The sequence below is a fragment of the Homo sapiens genome, chromosome 16 (assembly GCF_000001405.40).
Source record: "Homo sapiens chromosome 16, GRCh38.p14 Primary Assembly".
Taxonomy (NCBI): Eukaryota; Metazoa; Chordata; class Mammalia; order Primates; family Hominidae; genus Homo; species Homo sapiens.
Window position 1 is genome coordinate 70,154,745 of NC_000016.10, and position 18,789 is coordinate 70,173,533.

General features: G+C 48.9%; 1 protein-coding gene and 1 long non-coding RNA gene across 18 annotated transcripts in view, besides 1 other annotated feature; one reads left to right on the forward strand and one right to left on the reverse strand.

Moving 5' to 3' along the window:
* Positions 1 to 8,683, forward strand: part of PDPR (pyruvate dehydrogenase phosphatase regulatory subunit) — a 49,802-nt gene extending 41,119 nt beyond the window's left edge. For 16 of the 17 annotated variants that reach the window (NM_001322117.1, NM_001322119.1, NM_001322118.1 and 13 more), the window contains one exon: positions 1,731 to 7,793. In NM_001322117.1, the coding sequence (NP_001309046.1) occupies positions 1,731 to 2,135 (405 nt within the window). In that variant the 3' untranslated portion in view covers positions 2,136 to 7,793. Of the gene's footprint in view, positions 1 to 1,730; positions 7,794 to 8,624 lie in introns of those variants that run through there. The other variant, XM_017023388.3, reaches the window with a different exon arrangement.
* On the reverse strand, positions 1,596 to 18,704 carry LOC400541 (uncharacterized). The gene is made up of 3 exons (NR_126007.1): positions 18,384 to 18,704; positions 4,061 to 4,145; positions 1,596 to 1,760 (listed from the first exon to the last, which is right to left on the reverse strand). It is a non-coding gene; the product is annotated as an uncharacterized LOC400541 (long non-coding RNA).
* Positions 11,984 to 12,483: an enhancer, noted in NCBI's record as "H3K27ac hESC enhancer chr16:70200631-70201130 (GRCh37/hg19 assembly coordinates)". NCBI's record gives its function as "activates a minimal SCP1, AML or CMV promoter by ChIP-STARR-seq in naive and primed H9 embryonic stem cells {active_cell/tissue: H9 hESC(naive and primed)}" and the evidence as "EXISTENCE:reporter gene assay evidence [ECO:0000049][PMID:30033119]".
* Positions 18,705 to 18,789: the final 85 nt, after the last annotated feature.

Genomic DNA, 18,789 nt, shown 5'->3' on the forward strand with positions numbered 1-18,789 from the left:
TCCTCCCACTTCAGCCTCCCAAGTGGCTGGGACCACAGATGCACAACCATGCCCAGCTAATTTTTTTGTATTTTGGTAAAGACAGAGTTTCACCACATTGGCCAGGGTGGTCTCGAACTCCTGAGCTCAGGTGATCCGCCCTCCTCGGCCTCCCAGAGTGCTGGGATTACAGGCGTGAGACAGCACACCCGGCCTAATTTTTTTGGTTTTTTTGTTTTGGGCGGATCACCTGAGTTCACAAGTTCGAGACCAGCCCGGCCAACATGGTGAAACCCCGTATCTGCTAAAAATATAAAAATTAGCTGGGCATGGTGGCAGGCACCTGTAATCCCAGCTACTCGGTAGGCTGAGGCAGGAGAATTGCCTGAACCTGGGAGGCAGAGGTTGCAGTGAGCCGAGATCATACCATTGTACTCCCACCTGGGTGACAGAGCAAGGCTCCATCTCCAAAAAAAAAAAAGGTAATAACCCATTTTGGAAAATATAAAGAAGGAAATTAAAATCACCCATATTTTGTCTATTTAATGGTAGTAACTATTTTTTTTTTCTTTCTTGAGACGGAGTTTCGTTCTTGTTGTCCAGGCTGGAGTGCAGTGGCGCGATCTCAGCTCACTGCAATCTCTGCCTCCTGGCTTCAAGCGATTCTCCTGCCTCAGTCTCCCGAGTAGCTGTAAGCCATCCAGCTAATTTTGTATTTTTTGTCTTTACCAAAATACAAAAAATTAGGTGGGTGTGGTGGCGCATCTGTGGGCCCAGCTACTTGGGAGGCTGAAGTGGGAGAATCACTTGAGCATGAGAAGGCATTTTTGTATTTTTTCTTTTTTTAGTAGAGATGGGGTTTCTCCAGGTTGGTCAGGCTGGTCTCGAACTCCTGACCTCAGGAGATCCCCCCGCCTTAGCCTCCCAAAGTGCTGGGATTACAGGCGTGAGCCACCGTGCCTGGCCATAATCACCGTTAATAGTTTATTCTAGTCTTATTTGTTGTACATATGTGTATATATGTGTGTATGCATTGAATATAGATGTGCATGGTCTTGTTGGGATTATATAAAAAAGTCTTTTTTTTTTTTTTTTTGAGACAGAGTTTTGCTGTGTCAACCGAGGCTGGACTGCAGTGGTGCAATCTTGGCTCACTGCAGCCTCTGCCACCCAGGTTCAAACGATTTTCCTGTCTCAGTCTCCCTAGAATTATAGGCACACTCCACCAGAATCTTGGCTCACTGCAGCCTCTGCCTCCCAGGTTCAAGTGATTTTCCTGTCTCAGCCTCCCAAGTAGCTAGAACTATAGGCACACTCCACCACACCCAGCTTATTTTTGTATTTTTAGTAGAGATGAGGTTTGCCTCATCTCTGTTCAAGGCGTGAGCCACCACGACTGGCCAATATAAAAACATTTTTCTAAAGTACTGGACTGATAAGGTATTTTATTAAGTGAGTGAGTTTTCTTCCTAAACGTTTTTGTTCTATCTGGTCTTGTGACTTTATGTTTATAAAATAGGAAACAAAATGCGTACCTCTGTTGTTACAAAAATTACCGCGGCGTCTTTTATATTTCACATGCAGTTTTTCACATGGTAGAAATCGCACAGTTTCCCAAAAGCTGGCAGGGTTGTGGGAGGAGGCGGCTGTGCCCCATTGCAGTGACACCAGGGGACCCTTCCCACGGTGCTGCTCTCTGTGCCGAGGGTCTGAGTGTCGCTGGATGACTCGGCGTTTCCTTTCTTTCTTAGGGCATGGATTTCATTGGTCGCGACGCCCTCCTGCAGCAGAAGCAGAATGGAGTGTATAAACGCCTCACCATGTTCATCCTGGACGACCATGATTCAGACCTAGACCTTTGGCCTTGGTGGGGAGAGCCCATTTACCGGAATGGGCAGTATGTTGGCAAGACCACCAGCAGTGCCTACAGCTACAGCCTGGAGCGCCACGTTTGCCTGGGCTTTGTGCACAATTTTTCTGAGGACACGGGGGAAGAGCAAGTGGTGACAGCAGATTTCATCAACCGGGGAGAGTATGAGATTGACATCGCGGGATACCGCTTCCAGGCCAAGGCCAAGCTCTACCCTGTCGCCTCCCTCTTCACCCAGAAGCGCCGAAAGGATGACATGGAGCTGAGTGACTTACATGGGAAGTGATGCCACCAGGGCAGCCTCACCTCCTCCCCATCATCTTGTCCTAGAGTGGGCGTCACCTTGGAGCTTCTCTTCCTTCCGCCTCTGTTCCTCTTCTGGAGCCTTTGCCTCCCATCTCTTATCTCCTTGATATAATTTTGAACTTGACCTACTTTAAACTTTTTTGCTCTGCAGCCTTCCTTGCCCTTCCACCTCCTCCTCCTAATATTCACTCTGGGCTCTTCTTCCCTTCCCACCCCTCACTCAGCTTCTCGTGGTGGCAGGAGGTATGTCTGACAGGACAGAAGCAAGCTCCACTGTGGACATGAGTGATGGTGACAGCTGCTTTCAAATTCTGCATCTCAAGGCAGGGCAAGCCGGGGTGGTGCAGGTCTCAGGGCACGAGTCCCTCTCCCTTGGGTTCCATTTTCTTGGAGCAGCCTATTAGTTCTGGTGGGGTTGCCGTGTGTCGGATGCAGCCCTGAGGGGCAGCTCGTGCCTGCAGCCCGGCAGCTCGTTCTCCTGTTCTGCTGTGCTGTGGGCTGGCACTCGATACCTCTGGCAAGAGGATGATTATCTACCTCACTGATAAGAGGCATCGCATGGACGTTCTCTGGTCTGTAGTGGAGACAAGCAGTTAACCTAGCACCATCCTCATCCTCCCTGCAGAAGCCATTAGCAGACCTTTGGGCCAGGGCAGCCTCCCTATAATTTTCTTCATCTCTTGCTAATCTCTATAATAAGGTTGCTTTTTCTTTCTTAGTTGAGTAAACAAGTAAGCCACAGTGTTTGAAAGGGAAAAACCATATTGCCTTGTGTGTTGCTTTTCCCAGTCAAAAGGGTCTGACCTTAGAAAGTCCCCACCAGTGATGCTGAGTGTTCTGCTATGGAAACAATGCTGCTTTTCTCTCAGCTGTCCAAAGTTCAGCCGTTCCTCCTTCCCCTTCTCCCAGTGCGTTTGACTTTGTCAGGTCAGCCTCACTTGTCCCTTTCACAGTTGGCCCATAAAGTCATGTTTCTCTCCCTTTAGAATAGGGAGGGGAAGGGATCAGGTGTGTTGTCCTGGGCCTTTCAACCTTGCGGGCTGTGCTGAGTTCCAGAGAGCTGCCGGAATTCCAGGTTTGACTCTCCAGCACAGAGCAGAGCTACACAGAGGTGACCCACGTTAGTCCACTGAGAGTTCTGAGTCCAAAGGGTGTACGTTGCATAAGGCTAGAGACCGCTTTTCCTCCTTTCCCCCCAGGCTCTTTGTTTCCCTCCACCCACCCTTCCATATCCTCTGGAGCAGGAGACAATGTGGGTGCCCAGAAGTGCCCTGCGCTTTCAGGCAGTGTCTCTGTTTTCCCAAGGTGAAACTTAGATATCATGGACTGTTGTCCAGCCTCAATGCTTCATTTTCCCCTTGCATATCAACTGCCCTAATCTGACTTTTTTTAAGTGCAAATAAACTGCTATAAGACATTTTGGTTAGTAAAACTCTAGCCTTTGGCGTGTTGGTATCTTGGAAGCATTAGCTCTGATAGGTCTATAAGTGTATTAAGGGACATCCTTCCATTTCATTAGAGCAGCTTAAAATGCTCAGGTGTCTGCCTTCTCTGGTGTTTCTTTGGGATCTCTGTTTACCCACTTACGCTGGCTCCTTCTAGACATTTCTTGCCACTTCCCCAACTAGACCACTCCTAGTGATTACTGACTTTAGTGCCTAAACCTTTTTGGAAGGTTCTGGTTGGCTTGTTAGAGGAGCATATGATTAGAATTCTGTTTGGGGGTCTAGTTGTCTTGGAGCAAGTATGTACTTAACTAGCCGAGAGATGCTGCCTCTAGGCAGAGAGGAGGAGAGGTGTTGCCGGCTGGAGGGCCAACCAGTGAACACCAGCTGTGAAGGCCTTGGGAGAGGAGGAACAGGCCCTTGGGCAGATGCAGGCATTACCAGCAGGGAGCAGACTTACCTCCGAAGATGGAGACAGGTGACTGAGAGCTGCAGGCCTCCTCTGCTCTTCCAAACACGTAGCATTTGCACCCCTCCAAAGCCATCTTTGTAAAGGAAAACGTATTTGTAATTGAATCCAGAAGAATTTAGTTACACATAGACATAACTCTTCAACCTTAACTATGGCAATACATTTGTGCTTTAACTGTTACATAGCAGTATCACCACTTACCAGGATCCAAATCGAAATAATAAAAGCTGTCTCCATAGTTTAAAATCGAATAGTGCCATCATCACAGTATATTAGTCAAATAGAAGCTTCATCAGAAATGTATCCCACATAGAGTTTTAAGACTTGGATTCTCTTCTGCCCTTGTTAATCTCCAACTAATTACTACAGATTGACACGTTTTTAATTAGCTGTCCTTTGTAAGAAGTCAGGAAATCTGATGCTGTGTCCAAAATTATGCACTGTTTGTTGAAGTAGAACCAGAAATCCTGACCTCCTGTTAAATGACATCAGTTTCCCCCTCTGAGCAACAGACTGCTTGTCTTGCTAGGAGAGGAGGATGGGGGGCTGAGCACTCAGGCTGTCCATTGAAACCCCTTGTCCATGAATAGGGTCATACTCCTAAGACTGATGGGGTGTTGATCTTCTAGGACATCACTTGTTTATTCAGTGCCCCAAACACAGATTTCTCTTCTAGCACTTTAGAGTTGATCCTTGAAGTCTCTCCTGGTTCATTCAAATACAAGCTGTGTGAGTCTGGTGGTTTTCTGTGATTGGTCTAATGTGAGCTCTTTGAACAGACAGATCTGACAGTGAATGACTCTCCCCTGCTTCTGGCATAACTGCTTTGCCTCTGTCTAGTGTCCAAGCATCTTAGCTGTTCAAGAGGAGAGGGCAGCATAACTTCCTGACCACCGGTGTCAGATATCAGAGCATTCTGGACTCCTGAGAGGCAGTGGCCTCTTGAGTGAACAGGGGAGGCCAGTAGATGCCCCAGATCCAGAGCCGTGGCTGCAAATCCAGCAGGAATAAGGAGGGACAACCACAGCCTCCTCATCCATGTGTCATTTCCAAGGGTTTGCCTTGTGTCTCAGCTCATTCTGGGCAGCACGTTTGTCTTCTGTCCCTAGAGATTTGAAGGATTTTGGACTCTTGTGAATGGGTGACTGGACTTGGCTTTACAGAGTTGGGTGCTTTTTTCTCTCTGCAATTACCTGTCATAGCATTTTGTGCTCACCACGAAGGATGGTCTCTGCCTTCTCTTGTCGGTGTATGCCATCTGAACCTAGGAACACAAAGTATATTGGCCTCAAACGGAGACCCAGGGTTGCCAGTTTTCCGTGGGCCTTCCCCTCCCTTGAAATGTCTTTAATTACCTCCCCTTCATCGTCAGGCCACGTGTGACTTCTGTTCTTAGCACTGCCAGGGTCATTGACTTCCATCTAAGCTTGCATCAGGAAGATGTTCCTTCTGTGATCATTGGTACTGAAGCCAGAAAAGCTCTCATTCAGGAACTCTGAAGAGCAAAAAGGGACAAACACTAACTGCTGAGCTGGGCCATTTGATCTCCTTTCACCTTGCATTGCTGTCACAGCACCTTGTATGATGGCAGGACAGGCTCCAGCAGAGAGAACTGCACAGTGACCACTGTATTTTTCACGCTCTTCCAGGGATCCCTGTCCCCCGACATTGAAGAGATCTCATTCAGGCCAGAGACACAGAGACCACATAGCCCAGTGATTAAACCCCGGTTTCACTCTGGCCCCAGGAGTGGAGCCTGGCCACTCCTGTTTGGTTCTCACTGGGAGGCCCACTGGCCTTGGATCATCTCCTCATGCACACCCGGAGTTTTACCTGCTTGCTTGCTTTCCTGGACTGCTGTTTGCAAGAAAGTAACTAAAACATGAAAAGTAAACCTCCAGCTTCCACAGTATATTACCTGCCGTTGCATGCATTTGAAAGTTAGCCTCCTCCCTTGCCACCGTCTTGGTGGCAGTAGCGATGCAAGAATGATGGGAGCTTTCCGAGAGCGTTCAGTGTTTCACTGAAGACAGGACCCATAGCCTTCATTTCTGGCTCTGTGTCTCCTCTGGCATATGGACACATTTCCTGGCATTTGCCTGAGTCTACACCACTTTTTGAGAACCTGAAATAGAAGGGAATCTTCTGTGGCCCACAGTCTCCATATTGGCACTAGAAGACTGGCCTGGCGGAGGAATTTGCGTTGGCTTGCTTTCAGGGGTTAGCTACAAGATTCAGCTTTATATCTCTGTTGCTTCTTGGCCAGTGTAGTCAATAAGGGTCTTCTTTAACATCTAAGATAGAGGTTTGGTTGGCCGGGCGTGGTCGCTTACTCCTGTAATCCCAGCACTTTGGGAGGCCCAGTGAGGTGGGAGAATTGCTTGAACCCAGGAGGCAGAGGTTGCAGTGAGCTGAGATTGCACCACTGCACTCCAGCCTGGGTAACAGAGTGAGACTCTTGTCTCAAAAAAAAAAAAAAAAAAATCTAAGATAGAGGTTTGGTCAACAGTGCTTAATAATAAATAAGAACCTCCTGCCATTCTAATTTTCCTGCTGCACCCCATCCCCCACACACCCCTCACGAACATTGATATAAGCAGTATTAACACAGTATAAAGAATGTTCACCTTGCATATGTCATTTCAGGCACATGGATTCAGGAGAAGCACAGTTGAGTGGAAGAAATGGTAGACTTGTGAGGCTTGCCCCAGGCCTTGTGTACACGCAATAAGTGGTGAGCCATGGGTCTCTCCGTCAGCGCCTCCCTCCCCGCCACCACTTCAGGCCAACAATTTAAGGTGCTGAGTTGTAAGGCTCCTCCATTGTCAGTACAGGGCTCGCCTTTGTAGCCCTGATCACTACCAGTACACTTTTCAAGACAACTGAGTATTTTTGTATGCCTTTGCCTTCCCTTTGTCCATGAAACATGAAGAGTTGTTTATGGTTCTTGACTTCTCTGAGCAGAGTGTCTGCATCTCTTGGAGAGTTACACATTTCTTCATGAGCCATTTTTCTCATTCTTAGATGCACCTGTTTTTATCCTTTGCAGACCATCTTCTGCCTTCTTATTTTCCTGTCTGTCAAAGACAGAAATTACAGGAGATAGGGAGGGTTTTTTAGCATCTCTTTCAAAAGATGTATGTCAGAATTTCCTTTGCACACCAAGAACTGGAGCTTAGAGCCCCACTATTCTCTAAGCCAGGTTCTAGTGCCTTACACTCCAGAATGTCAGATGGTGGGTGCAGATTGGAAGAAAGAGAAAAGTTCATCTCGGTGTGTGGGTTCCCATCCGCCCCACATAGCCTCTCCTTCTTCGGAACAATGGGCGTGGGGTAGAAAGCTCTTTCAGTGAAGGGTGTTCTAGCAGCTCAGTTAACACTTTACTCTCCAGTCAACACTTGGGACATATAAAAATGCCATTGTAACTACTGTAGAGTCCTGTGACTCATCGTTTGTGTTTGTCAATTTGCAGTTCAGCTTAGCCCTTCCCTGTTCCTGTGTAGTTACAATCTGGCCCTGAAGACATCCGAGGCACTTCAGTAAGTGGGATCTTTTCTAGAGATCCTGGGTGACTTTGGGTGCACAGGGTGACCGAGCATTTCTGCCCCTGTGAATGTGGCACTAACACTGTGCACTGTCTCCACCAAGCAAGGTTTCCACTGAGTTTCTTCTCATGTTACTGGGTTTGTAAATGAATAAACACATTTTAACTACTCTTGCACGGCTGCTTGTGAAATGTTCTTCATCTGTAGTGACTTAAATGTGTTTGCCACCACAAAGCATAAACAGCGTGCAGAGGAGAGTGTGTACCTCCCTGTGTGTACCAGTGTGAGGGAGGATTTGGGGACGGGGGTAGAGAAGATGTAGGTGTTTATCTTACCCTCCCTGCAGCGCTGGAGTGGCTGGGGGTAAAAGCTTCCCGCCTCCTGAAATTCCGACCGGCCTTCTGCCTACAGCTGACCTCAGGAGGAACCTGCCACCTGATGTTCCACACGGGCACGTGTGCACTCAGGTTTGTGTGGAAAGCAAGGGGGGTCGTGTTCTCACCCTGTGGAAACAACCCTGAGAGAAACAACCAGTGCTCTTTTTCTACACCAGCTTCCATCCACAAGTTGGTCCCTGGACTTGACCTGTTCACTAATTTTTTTTTTTGAGGCAGAGTCTTGCTCTTTTGCCCAGGCTGGAGTACAGTGGTGTGATCTTGGCTTACTGCAACCTCCACTCCCAGGTTCAAGTGATTTCCTGCCTTAGCCTCCAGAGTAGCTGGGATTACAGGCACGCGCCACCATGCCCAGCTAATTTTTGTATTTTCGTAGAGACGGGGTTTCGCCAGGTTGGCCAGGCTGGTCTCAAACCCCCAACCTCAAGTGATCCACCCACCTTGGCCTCCCAAAGTGCTGGGATTACAGGCGTGAGCCACTGTGCCTGGCCCAAAGTAATTTTTGAGTAGTTTTTTTTTTTTTAAGTATTTGTACTTTTGAGAATCTCATAGGTTAACATGTTTACAACAATCTCTTCATCTTGTCTTCTAAATCAGCCCCTTCTATTCCAGTTCCAGGAATAGTCAACCACGCCAGAAACCTGGGACTCACCTGGTCTCCCCACTCGCCTCTCCCTACACCTCCCGCTCATTACCCAGCCTCACAGGGCTGTCTCCTCAGTGCCTCTCCTCTGTTCGGACCTCACTGTCCCCACCACTGCTGCTGTGGCAGAGAGGGTTGTCAGCCCTGACTTCGAGAACAATCTCTTACTGATTTTCCTGCTTCTCATGTCATCCCCCCTCCCTCTGCAGGGTTGTCTTTGTAAAACAGGGGAGGTCAATTTACTCACTGCCTTGAAACCCTCAAGGGACTCCCCTTTGTCGTGAGACAAAGCTCTCAGTCCTTAGCCTGGCCAGCCAGGGTCTCCAGGGTGTGGCAGGCCACGCTGCCCCAGGGCTCCGGCCTGCGCTGCGTGTGATGTGGGTCCTGCAGCCGAGTGCGTGCTCGCCATCCACAGCTGGATCTCACCTCGAATCCTGCTTTCCAGTCACACTGAGAGGTCTCCCACTCCCATATTTGCTCACTAAAATGCCTCCTGGCAGCCCTCCCCTGTGCTTGTGGAAAGTCGCAAATTGAGGATCACATGGACCCCCACTCCCCCAAGTTGTCCTGACAGAGACCTCCTGTCTTTCATTTGATTGATTGATTGAGACGGAGTTTTGTTCTTCTTGCTTAGGCTGCTGGAGTGCAGTGGCGAGATCTCGGCTCACCACAACCTCCGCCTCCCAGGTTCAAGCAATTCTGCCTCAGCCTCCTGAGTAGCTGGGATAACAGGCATGCGCCACCATGCCTGGCTAATTTTGTATTTTTAGTAGAGACGAGGTTTCACTATGGTGGTCATTGGTCAGGCTGGTCTCGAACTCCTGACCTCAGGTGATCAACCCACCTCAGCCTCCCAAAGTGCTGGGATTACAGGTGTGAGCCACAGTGCCTGGCCCCTCCTGTCTTTCAAAAGCTCTGCCCAAGACCACCATCATCCCACAGTGGAGCCTTTCCTTCCCCAAGAGAATGGCCCCTTTGGGGTCCTCACACACCCGTTTCTGATGTGTCTTTATTTGGTTATCTGCCCTGCTCCTTCTGTAAGTCCCTCGGAGAAAGACTCGAATTCTCCCAAACTCCAACACCTCACATGGTGTTTGGTGTTTAACAGATGATTAAATGAATGGGCAAAAAGTGGAGGGCAAAATCTTTAAAATGTCTTTTAAGATTTAAGGATTTTAGGCCAGGTGCGGTGGCTCACACCTGTAATCCCAGCACTTTGGAATGCCGAGGCGGGCGGATCACCTGAGGTTGGGAATTCGAGACCAGCCTGACCAACATGGAGAAACCTTGTCTCTACTAAAAATACAAAATTAGGCGTGGTAGCGCATGCCTATAATCCCAGCTTCGCGGGAGGCTGAGGCAGGACAATCGCTTGAACTCAGGAGGTGGAGGTTGCAGTGAGCCGAGATCACGCCATTGCACTCCAGCCTGGGCAACAAGAGCGAAACTCTGTCTCAAAAAGAAAAAAAGATTTAAGGATTTTAAATGTTTGATTTTTTTTTCTTGTTGAGATAGAGTCTTGCTTTGTCGCCAGGCTGGAGTGTAGTGGCGTGATCTCGGCTCACTGCAACCTCTGACTCCCTGGTTCAAGGGATTCTCCCACCTCAGCCTCCCGAGTAGCTGGGATTACAGGCACACGCCACCACGCCCAGCTAATTTTTTGTATTTTTAGTAGATACCGGGTTTCACCATGTTGACCAGCATGGTCTCGATCTCCTGACCTTATGATCTGCCCACCTCAGCCTCCCAAAGTGCTGGGATTACAGGCGTGAGCCACCGCGCCCGGCCTGAAAATTTTTAAATGATTGTTTGCCGACTTTACAACAGGACGATGTTGTTGTTCGCAGGCCAGTAGGTGGCGCTGTGGCACGTGATCTGAGCCTCCTGGATTCACACAACTGTTCATGTGGAGAACCCAGTGCCGGGACCCATTAGCACCCCAGTCAGGCTATGCGTCTCCCTCCCAAGGGTGCTCACCTGGTGTGGCCTTCATGGCACAGGGGGAGTGAGATGAGGCTCCTTTAGTACACCCTCCCCTGAGAAGAGCGACGTGTGCTTACCCTCCAGTGGCTTGTTCTCATGAAAGGCTCCACAGTTAGGGACCTTCAGATGCTTAGATCTGGGGTGTCACCTGACTCAAGCAGCTCAGAATCCCAGATTGTTGTGGTGGGTCAAGGGCATGGGGCTTTGGGTTTACTGGCCTGGGTCTGAATGCCAGCATTGCCTCTTCCTTGGTGTATAGGACCTTGGGTGGTTACTTTTCCTAGGCCTCTGTTTACTTGTTTTAAAATGGACAGTGATGCCTACTTTATAGGGTTGTTATGAAACTCAACTAATGAATATAAAATACTCGACCCAGACTGGCATGGTGGTTCACGCCTGTAATCCCAACACTGGGAGGCCAAGGTGGGAGGATCTCTTGAGCCCAGGAGTTCAAGACCAGCCTGGGCAACTTAGGGAGACCCCGTCTCTACCAAAAATAAAAAAATTAGCCAGGTATAGTGGTGTGTGCCTGTAGTACTAGCTACCCGGGAGGCAGAGGTGAAAGGATCGCTTCAGCCCAGAAGTTCAAGACTGCAATGAGCCGTGATCATGCCACCGCACTCCAGCCTGGGTGACAGATCAAGGCCCTGTCTCAAAAAATAAATTAACAGGTCGGGCGCAGTGGCTCACGCCTGTAATCCCAGCACTTTGGGAGGCTGAGGCAGGAGGATCGCTTGAGCCCAGGAGTTCAAGACAAGCCTGGGCAACTTAGGGAGACCCCGTCTCTACCAAAAATAAAAAAATTAGCCAGGTAGAGTGGTACGTGCCTATAGTTCCAGTTACCCGGGAGGCTGAGGTGAAAGGATCGCTTCAGCCCAGAAGTTCAAGACTGCAATGAGCCCTGATCGCGCCACTGCACTCCAGCCTGGGTGACAGATCAAGGCCCTGTCTCAAAAAATAATTAATTAAATACTTGACCCATTGCACGATCTTTCCATGCACGACAGCTGCTCTTCTATTATTCTTCCAGGATGAGCTGCACAGCCTGCCCCCTTGGGTTTCCAGGTTGTGGGAGATGAGCAAAACTGAATGACCTCAGTAGGCCAAGAGCAAAGGATGTGGGTCCGGACCTGGTGGCCAGTTGCTTGTGACAGGAGCTGGGCTGGAGTCCCCAAGTGCCACTAGTGCTGACATCTTTTAACTGTGTTCATTGTGACTTGTTTATTTCTAAAAGTAACCACTGGCGCCTTGGTGCAGATGGAACTCCAGGTGCATGCGGTGAGTTAACCATGGTCTGGGGAGCTTTGTTTCCACGCCTAGGACATGCATCTGTGTGCATGATATGTGAGCTGATATAGCCATGCCTCTGGTGATTTGAACGCCTGCGCTTCCCAGCTGCTTCAGGGCCCTGAACATCGCTGGATGTTTGTACTTCATTCCCTCCTCAGCCCAGCTGGTCCCACTCCGCAGCTGTGCTCTAGGCATTTCATCTCAACTGGGTGATATATTTGAATACAGCAATTATAAGAACAGCAACCTCAGAAGAACATCTGGCATCCAGACCTCCCCAGCCTAGTTCCACAAGGTACCAACTTCCGTAAGCCTTGAAGAGCTAAGTAAGACATCCGGGCCGGGTGCGGTGGCTAATGCCTGTAATCCCAGCACTTTGGAAGGCCAAGGCGGGCAGATCACTTGAGGTCAGGAGTTCAAAACCAGTCTGGCCAACATGGTGAAACGCCATCTCTACTAAAAATACAAAAATTAGCCGGGTGTGGTAGTGCATATCTATAATCCCAGCTACTTGAGAGGCTGAAGGAGGAGAATCTCTTGAACCCGGGAGGCAGAGGTTGCAGTGAGCCAAGGCCACACCACTGCACTCCAGCCTGGGCAACAGATCCCTTGGTATAGATACGGGGAGCTTGGGTGGTCTCATCACAGCAGAACCTCAGCTCTTGGCATGTTCTTTCCTTTGCTACCAGCTTTTGAAACTGAAGTGTAGCAGAGTCATGAACCAGACTTTGAAACATGAACCAGACAGAGAAACATTTTAAGAAGTAGCGGCTGACCAGGAGTTGGAGATTGCAGTGCACTATGATTGCACCTATGAATAGCCACTGCACTCCAGCCTGGGCAACATAGTGAGACCCCTATCTAAAAAAAAAGAAAAAGAAGGGCCAGGCACGGTGGCTCATGATTGTAATCCCAGCACTTTGGGAGGCCAAGGCAGGTGGATCACAAGGTCAGATCAAGACCATCCTGGCTCACACAGTGAAACCCCTTCTCTACTAAAGATACAAAAAATTAGCCTGGTGTGGTGGTGGGCGCCTGTAGTCCCGGCTACTCGGGAAGCTGAGGCAGGAGAATGGTGTAAACCCGGGAGGCGGAGCCGGGCGCGGTGGCTCACAACTGTAATGCCAGCGCTTTGGGAGGCCAAGGCAGGAGGATCGCTTGAGCCCAGGAGTTTTAGACCAGCCTAGACAACATGGCAAGACCCCGTCTCTACCAAAAATACAAAAAATTAGCCGGGCATGGTGGTGCATGCCCATAGTCCCAACTACCTGGGACGCTGAGGTGGGAGGATCACCTGAACCCCGGAGCCGTGAGCACACCACTGTACTCCAGCCTGGGTGACAGAGTGAGACCCTGTCTGGAAAAAAAAAAAAAGTAGCTGGGTATGGTGGCACGTGCCTATCGTCCTACCTGCTCAGGAGGCTGAGGCATGAGGATGGCTTGAGCCCAGGAATTCGAGGCTACTCAGCAATTATGGTACCACTGCACTCCAGCCTGGGTGACAAAGTGAGACCCTCAAATAAAACAAAATAAATTGGCCATAAATGTAAGAGTTTTTTCCTGTATTGTTCATTCTGTTCCTTGATCTATATGTCTTGTCCTTTTTCCATATCTTATAGATGTGATTACTAGAAGTTTCATAGCAAGTTTTGAAATCAGGTAGTATACATTCTCCAGTTTTATTCTTTTTCAAATGTGTTTTGGTTATTCTAATTCCTTTGCGTTTCCATGCAAATTTTAAGATCCAGTTTTCAAATTTTTTTTGAGATGGATCTTGCTATATTGCCCAGGCTGGTCTCAAACTCCAGGGCTCAAGGGATCCTCTTGCCTCAGTCTCCCAAATAGCTGGGATTACAGGCACATGCCACCAAACCTGGCCTCTCAATTGCTTTAAAATACAACAACAACAAAAATCTTTTGGAAGTTTGATGGGCATTGCATTGAATTAATAGACAAATTTGGGGAGAATTACCATCTATCTTAACAATATTGAGTCTTCCCCTGGCCAACATGGTGAAATCTGTCTCTACTAAAAATACAAAAACTGGCCAGGTGCAGTGGCTCATGCCTGTAATTTCAGCACTTTGGGAGGCCAAGGTGGGTGGCTCACTTGAGGTCAGGAGTTCAAGACCTGCCTGGCCAACATGGTGAAACCATGTCTCTACTAAAAATACAAAAATTAGCCGGGTGTGGTGGCGGGCGCCTGTGATCCAAGCTACTTGGGAGGCTGAGGCAGGAGAATCACTTAAACCGAAGGGGTGGAAGTTGCAGTGAGCCCAGATCGCGCCACTGAACTCCAGCCTCAGTGACAGAGTGAGACTCTGTCTCAAAAAAAAAAAAAAAAAAAGAAAAGAAAAAAAAAGAAATTAGCTGGACATGGTGGCAGGTGCTTGTAATCTCAGCTACATGGGAGGCTGAGGCAGGAGAATCACTTGAACCCAGGAGGCGGAGGTTGCAGTAGGAAGAGATCACGCCACTGCACTCCAGCCTGGACGACAGAGCAAGACTCAGTCTCAAAAAACAAACAATAAAACAATATTGAGTCTTCTATTCCATGAAGGTGAAATGTCTATGCATTTTTTTAGATCTTTAGTTTCTCTCAGCAATGTTGTTTTACAGTTTTATGTGTATGGATTTTCTTTTTTTTTTTTTTTTTTTTGAGAATGAGTCACTCTGTCGCCTAGTCTGGAGTGCAGTGGCTCAATCTCGGCTCACTGTAACCTCCGCCTCCCGGGTTCAAGCAATTCTCCTGCCTCAGCCTCCTGAGTAGAGTAGCTGGGATTACAGTTGCCCACCACCACGCCTGGCTAATTTTTTGTATTTTTAGTAGAGATGAGGTTTCACCATGTTGGCCAGGCTGGTCTTGAACTCCTGACCTCAAGCAATCCATCTGCCTCGGTCTCGGAAAGTGCTGGGATTACAGATGTCAGCCACTGTGCCTGGCCATGTGTGGAACTGTTTCCTCAATTTCATTTTCAGATTGTTTATTGCCAATGTGTAGAAATGCAGTGGATTTTGGTATGTTAATTTTGTATTCTGAGACCTTTATTCTAGTAGGGTTTTTTTTTTTTTATACATTCCTTTGGATTTTCTACAGTAGAATTATGTCATCTGCAAATGAAGATAGTTTTACTTCTTTCTTTTCAGTGTGGATGCCTTTAATGTCTTTTTCTTAACTTATTGCACAAATTGCGCATTCAATAGTACAATGTTTAGTGGGACCGGTGAGAAAAGACATCCTTGCCTTGTTTTGATCTTAGGGAGGAAAGTCTTTGGTCTCACTGTTAAGTGTGATATTAGCTGTACGTTTTGCGTAAGGGCTGTATTCGTTTGCTAGGACTGCCATACAAGGTACCACACACTGGGTGGCTTAAAAAACAGAATGTATTTTCTCAGAGTTCTGGAGGCATAAAGGCCAGGATCAAGGTGCCGGGGGGTTGGTTCCCTCTGAGGACCTCTCTCCTTGGCTTGTCTACAGCCGCCTTCTCCCTATGTCTTCACAGGATCTTCCCTCTGTGTGTCTCTTCTTATAATGAGGCCAGTCAGACTGGATCAGGACCCACCCCAGTGACCTCATTTAACTTTAATTACCTCTTTAAAGACCCTATCTCTAAATACAGTGACACGGAGGTAATGGAGGTAGGACTTCAACATACTAATTTGGGGCTGGTTGTGGTGGCTCACGCCTATAATCCCAGCAGATGACTTGAGCTTTGAGACCAGCCTGGGCAACATGGGGAAGGCCCATCTCTACTAAAAATACAAAAATTACCTGGCATGGTGGCGCACACCCACAGTCCAGCTACTCAGGAGCTTGAGGTAGGAGGATGGCTTGAGCCTGGGATGTGGAGGTCAAAGCCCCAGGAGCAGAGGTCACAGTGAACCAAAATTGTGCCACTGCATTCCAGCTGGGCAACAGAGCCAGACTTCGTCTCAAGAAAAATTTAAAAATCAAATAGACATGATTTTTTTTTAGACAGAGTCTCATTCTGTTGCCCAGCCTGGAGTGCAGTGGTGTGATCTCAGCTCACTGCAACCTCTGTCTCCTGGGCTCAAGTGATTCTCATGCCTCAGCCTCCCAAGTAGCTGGGATTACAGGTGTGTGCCACCATACCCAGCTAATTTTTGTATTTTTAGTAGAGACGGGATTTTGCCATGTTGGCCAGGCTGGTCTCAAACTCCTGACCTCAGGTGATCCGCCCACCTCAGCCTCCCAAAGTGCTGGTACTACAGGCATGAGCCACTGCACCTGGCCTAATTTTTTTTTTTTTCTTGAGACAGAATCTTGGTCTGTTACCCAGGCTGGTGTGTAGTGGCACGATTACAGCTCACTGCAGCCTTGACCTCCCTGGCTCAGGCTATCCTCCCACCTCAGCCTCCCAGGTAGGTGGGACTATGGACACGTGCTACCACGCCCAGCTAATTTTTTGTATTTTTTTTAGAGACGGGGTTTCACCATGCTGCCCAGGCAGGTCTCAAACTCCTGAGATCAAGCAGTCCACCCAGCTTGGCCTCCCAAAGTGCTGGGATTATAGGTGTGAGTGAGCTACTACGCCTGGCCTGGACATGTAATTTTTAAAAGAAAATGTGGCCACAACTCTCCTAGAGTTAAATGTTTTTTTTGTTTGTTTGTTTGTTTGTTTTTTGAGACCATCAACAAGATTTCAAGGCTTTAAAGAAAGGAGCTGCTTCAGGAAGAGATAAAATGACTCAAACGCTATAACCTTCAAATGTAGACTGGGAGAAGAGGTATCAGCTATGCATGAGCTGGAGAGGGGTGGGATAGATAGAGACACAGGTGATAAAGAAAATATAGCAAAATGTGAATCCTACAATCTGGGTGGTGGATGTAAACCCTGTAGTAGCCTCACCTGGGGAAAGCTGCCTTGCAACAATGAGGCTGCCCATTCTCCAAACCCACCCCAGCCACCGAGCAGGCTCCACTAAAAAGTCTGAACCCAGGAGGGAGTACCATGGAAACCAAGTTGCAATGCCCTGGTTAGGGGCCCAGCAGAGGGGTCATCCCAGCTCTACGCCATTGGATACTGAGTTTCAGGAGTGGGAGTGCCATCCTCAGGGTCACACAGCGTGTCGGTTCCAGCCTAGGTCTTCCAGTGTCTCATTAATCTTTTATCCACTCAGCTTCTCTTCTGGCCCATGAACCTTGCTCTCCTGGGACTCTTTTTTTTTTTTTTGAGGGGTCGGGGGTGGGACAGAGTCTCGCTCTGTTGCCCAGGATGGAGTGCAGTGGTGCCATCTTGCTTCACTGCAACCTCCGCCTCCCAGATTCAAGCAATTCTCCTGCCTCAGCCTACCGAGTAGCTGGGACTACAGGCACCCACCACCCTGCCCAGATAATTTTTGTATTTTTAGTAGAGACAGGATTTCACCATGTTGGCCAGGCTGGTCTCGAGCTCCTGACCTCAAGTGATCCGCCTGCCTTGGCCTCCCAAAGTTCTGGGATTACAGGCGTGAGCCATCACACCCGGCCTGGGACTCTTCTTGCAGTGAGCCAGGGCCATGGGACCCTTCAAAAGTTGCTCCACCCTAATCCCCAAAATATCTTTTTCTCCCGCCTGTCCCAAGTGCCTGGCATCATACTATATGGGTCAACTGGCCATGTTTGCCATGGAAGCCCAATTGTAGGAAGTGGGTCTTTTATCACCCGGCATAGCAGAGCTGTGGAAACTGCACTGGGAAAGATCAGGATGTGAATTAAAGCGTTGGGAATGGGAAGGCAGAGACCTTGGATTAGCTGGGATGCTCCATGCACTCGCTGAGTGACCTTGGACAAGCCCCTTAGACACACTAAGCCCGTTTCCTCATCTACACGACGGGCATCCCATCTGCTACTGCACCAGGTTCTTGTGGCAATAACTTGAACTCACACATGCAAACAGGCTTTGTGAGCTCCATAAACACAGGTGGCTCGGCCAGGTGTGGTGGCTCATGCCTGCAACCCCAGCACTTTGGGAGGCCAAGGTGGGAAGATCCCTTGAGCCCAGGAGTTGGAGACCAGCCTGGGCAAGACGATGAAATCCTGTCTCTACCAAAAAAAATAATAATAATTAGCCAGGCATGGTGGCACACACCTGGTCCCAGCTCCTTGGGAGGCTGAGGTGGGAGGATCACTTGGGCCCAAGAGGTCAAGGCTGCAGTGAGCTGAGATTATAACACTCCAACCTGAGTGGCAGAGTGAAACTGTCTAAAAAATAAAAATAAAAATACATCAAAAAACAGGTAGCTATTAAGCATTGCTAGGACCCACACGCAGTGACCCTGAGGGTGCTGGGTTTCTGTTTGAGGGAGAAGAAACTCCTGAGCCCCTAGGTATTGTGGGGGACATGCAGTTCCAGACCGCCTTCATGGCCTGTATGCCTGGCCTCATCCCCATCCCTGGCACCCATGACGATAGCCACATTCCACTGGTGTTTCCCCAGGAAAGCCAACCCTACCTGCATCTCAGCAGAGCTTCCACGGAGTTGGAACCCCGCTCCGAGAGGGTGTGGGCTCAGGGGCCAGGGGTCACACAAACTCCAGAAGGAGGACGTAGTTGGTTTGCAAGGCTGTCCTTTGCCCTGGTTGAATAACCTTTGGTCTTCCCCGAGAGGAACGTGGGCATTAGGCTGCAGCCCACAGGAAGCTATGTATTTTCTGAGAAACTTGGCCCATGGTGCAGATCTGCTCCAGCTCACTCTGGTGGGATCACGCCAGCCACGGCCGGGCCACGGCACATCATGGCAACGTGCTGCCCACCTGCTACGCCACCTGTTTTTCTAGAGGCGGACGTGATCCCAGCAGGACTGGAGTCAGCCCAGGGCATCACGTGCTCTGGTCCCCGCCTGCTTTGACTCCTCCTGC